The sequence below is a fragment of the Homo sapiens genome, chromosome 8 (genome assembly GCF_000001405.40).
Source record: "Homo sapiens chromosome 8, GRCh38.p14 Primary Assembly".
Classification (NCBI taxonomy): domain Eukaryota; kingdom Metazoa; phylum Chordata; class Mammalia; order Primates; family Hominidae; genus Homo; species Homo sapiens.
Window position 1 is genome coordinate 141,699,419 of NC_000008.11, and position 3,144 is coordinate 141,702,562.

At 58.7% G+C, this 3,144-nt stretch overlaps 1 annotated feature.

Moving 5' to 3' along the window:
• Positions 1,132 to 1,706: an enhancer, noted in NCBI's record as "H3K4me1 hESC enhancer chr8:142710650-142711224 (GRCh37/hg19 assembly coordinates)". NCBI's record gives its function as "activates a minimal SCP1, AML or CMV promoter by ChIP-STARR-seq in primed H9 embryonic stem cells {active_cell/tissue: H9 hESC(primed)}" and the evidence as "EXISTENCE:reporter gene assay evidence [ECO:0000049][PMID:30033119]".

Here is a 3,144-nt window from a genome sequence, read left to right on the forward strand (position 1 = left end):
ACCTTTGGATTTCAGACCTGCAGCCCCACAGTCACAATCACGTAAGCCAATTCCTTGAAACCCATCTCTTGACATGCACATGTGTGTCCCCCAGTCTGCTCTCTCTGGAGAACCCTGATCGCTGTAGCCTCGTCTCACCCAGCCCCAGGCCACTGAGCCAAGGCACCAGCTTGGCGGTAGCCACTTTGTCTTCGTCTGCATCCCTCTGGGTGACCTTGGCTGTGTGGCCACCCTAAGGGAGGCTGGGAAAGGCAGTGGAGCTGTATGCCCAGCAAGGAGAGGGTACCTGTTTTCTGTACTACGTAACAAATCACTGGACACTTAGGGGCTTCCAACAGCACCCAGGTGTTATCTCGCTGCCTTCTTGGGTCAGGAGTCATGGCGGGCTCAGCTGGCTGCAATGAGACCCCCTCTGTGGCCCCAGGTCTGCTTCCAAGCTCATGTGCTCATTGAAGAATCCATTTTCTCAAAGCTGCCTTGCTGGGGTGGGGGTGGGGGCTGGCTTGTTCAGGTTCAGCAGGAGAGGGTCCCTGTGGTTTGAAGTCTCCGAGCTCAGGGAAGGACAAAGTCCCCCAAGAGGCTTCTCTGATGAGGTCAGGCCTGCTAGGATAATCTCCCTTTGGCTCAGAGCAAAGCCATGCTTGCTAGGGGCCTTGATTACACCTGCAAAATCCCTTCCTCTTTGCCATATCACATGACCTAATAGAGGCTTGGCATTGATCCTGTTTGCAGATGTCCGCCACTGGAGGCTGGGGGACTACAGAGGCCTGGACATGGGGCGGGGATGAAGGAGACCATTTCAGGGCTCTTTATGCCACAGAAAAGGACATGCATGGTGGCCAGGCGGCCAGGTGCTGCCCCAGACCCCAAGGACACAGGGGAGCTCAACATGGGTCAGGGCTAGACAGCCTCTATCTCACGGAGCCATTCTCCTGCCTGGGATGAACACCGGGGTTGTCTGTTTAATGTTTTGAATAAGAAGGCTTGCTCTTCCCTCACTGTTTTGAGACGGGGTGCACTGCTCAGAGAGAGAGAGGGAGGAGGGAGGGGAGGGAGGAGAAAGAGCGAGAGAGGGAGGGGGAGGGGAACGAAGGGAGGAGGAGGGAAGAGGGGAAGGGGAGGGGGAGAGGCGGGATGGGGGAGGGGGAGAGAGGCTGGGGTGGTCTTGGGGGAAGATGGAGCAGCCTCCTCCTGCTGTCAGCAGAGCTGCAGGCTACAGAGCAGCGTCACCACCCTGTCTCCCTCAGCGCAAACCACTCTTTCTCAAGCACTCAGTGGTACCAAAGATTTCAGTGTCTCCAGCCCCCTACTGGGTCCTCTGAACGCCCTGGATGCTGGCTAGCTGAAGCCTGGCTAATTGTGGGCACCTGGTCCTGGGGGCTTCCCCTCTTGGACCTGGTCCCGCCAGCCCCTTCCTGCTCTAGGAGCCACCGGAGTTCCTGCCAGGGGTTCTGAAATGCCAATGCCAGCCCCATTGGTATGCAAACAGGGCCTGGGGTGAGAAGATGGTGACAGCCATGCCCTCTCCCCTGCCAGTCCACCTGCCCCACAGCTGGCAGTGGGAGCCTCGGAGGTCTCCCCACCTCTCAGTGGCTTGACAGGCTCCCTGGGAACAGGAGGTGAGTCTCACCAGAGCTCACCTCCTCATCGAAAGCCCCCTCCTGCCCGCCCAGGCCCAGAGGGGAGGGGGAAGTGAGGAGCAGGCTATGGTCACTGCGGAGCACAGCCTCACCATTGGGTGGGGTCTCCTTTCCAGGGCGGAGGGAGGAAGGGGTTTTCTCAGCTGCCATTGCTGACACATGTCCAGGGGCAGGTCTGTTGCCTGAGAGGCTGGGCTGGGCTGGGGAGGAGAGTGGTGCTGGGGAAACAGTGGGCAGCCACCCAGGAAAAGAGGCCAGTGCGGGAGAGGACAGGGCAGTGCTGAGGCCTGTGGCATGGGAAAGACCCACTGTTGGCACGGATGGAGCAGCCACAGGGTTGCAATGATGGGGGATCTGCCGGCCCTGCCATGCCCAGCCCCGAGCCCTGTGCTGGTCACCCTGGGGGTACTGGTGGGAGGGGGCTGTTCTCCTGCATCCCTGCTTCAGTTTAGAAGCCAGAGTCCCAAGAAGAGCCCCACCCTCCAAAAGCAACCTTTCAGCCCCTGCGCTGGCCCCGGCCCCAGGTCCCTGCCCACACCTCCCAGGTGTGTGTGGCTCCTGCAGCCTCGCCCAGGGCTGTGATCCCCACCCCACCAGGCTGATGGGAGCAATCACACAGGCTGGGGGGAAGCAGTCTCAGAGGTGCCTGCAGAAAGTAAATTTCCAAACAGACATCGGCTGTTTCTGGTTTCATCACTGACGGCTGGAGTTTCAGGCTCTCTCTGAATCAGTCCTATGGCCCACCTCATCCAGCGGCCATGTGTCTAAAACAAGTTGCAACAGACAAGTGGTGTGTGTGTGAGAGAGAGAGAGTGTGTGGGTGTGTGAGTGTAAGAGTGTGTGTGAGAGTATTAGCGTGTGGGTGTGAGTGTGAGAGTGAGTGAGTGTGAGTGTGTGAGTGCGAGTGTGTGTGAGTGTGAGTGTGTGAGAGAGTGAGTGAGCGTGAGTGTGTGTGAGTGTGAGAGTGAGTGAGCATGTGTGTGAGTGTGAGAGTGAGTGTGAGTGGATGCGTGTGGGTGTGTACGTGTGTGTGAGAGTGAGTGTATGTGGGTGTGTGTGAGTGTGGGAGACTGTGTGTGAGCATGTGTGAGTGTCTCTGTATCTGAGTGCGTGTGTGTGCGTGTTGGGAGAGAAGTGTGGGGGGATGTTAGTTTGTAGGTGTGTGTGTGTTGGGGGAGATGGGGGTTACCTGAGCCCCCTGGAGTCAAACTTGGGTCTTGAACTAGCTGAGGCTGAGAACTGAGGGAACCTGAGGCCTGTGGATGAGAGGGGATGGCCCAAGGCCATCTGGCGGGATGTCGGGGTCCCTGGAGCACAGCCTTCCCAAAGCCCAGCGGCAGCTCACACTTAGGGGTGGCTCAGGGCTCAGGCCTTGCCCCCCCTTCCCCAAGCCCCTGCGTCATCTTTCTAAATACCTCCGTGTCCCTGTCACTCCCTCCCTGCCTCTGAGCCCTTCCCTGGTTTTCCTGGGCACGATAATGAGGCCTCCCATTTTGCAGCCCCC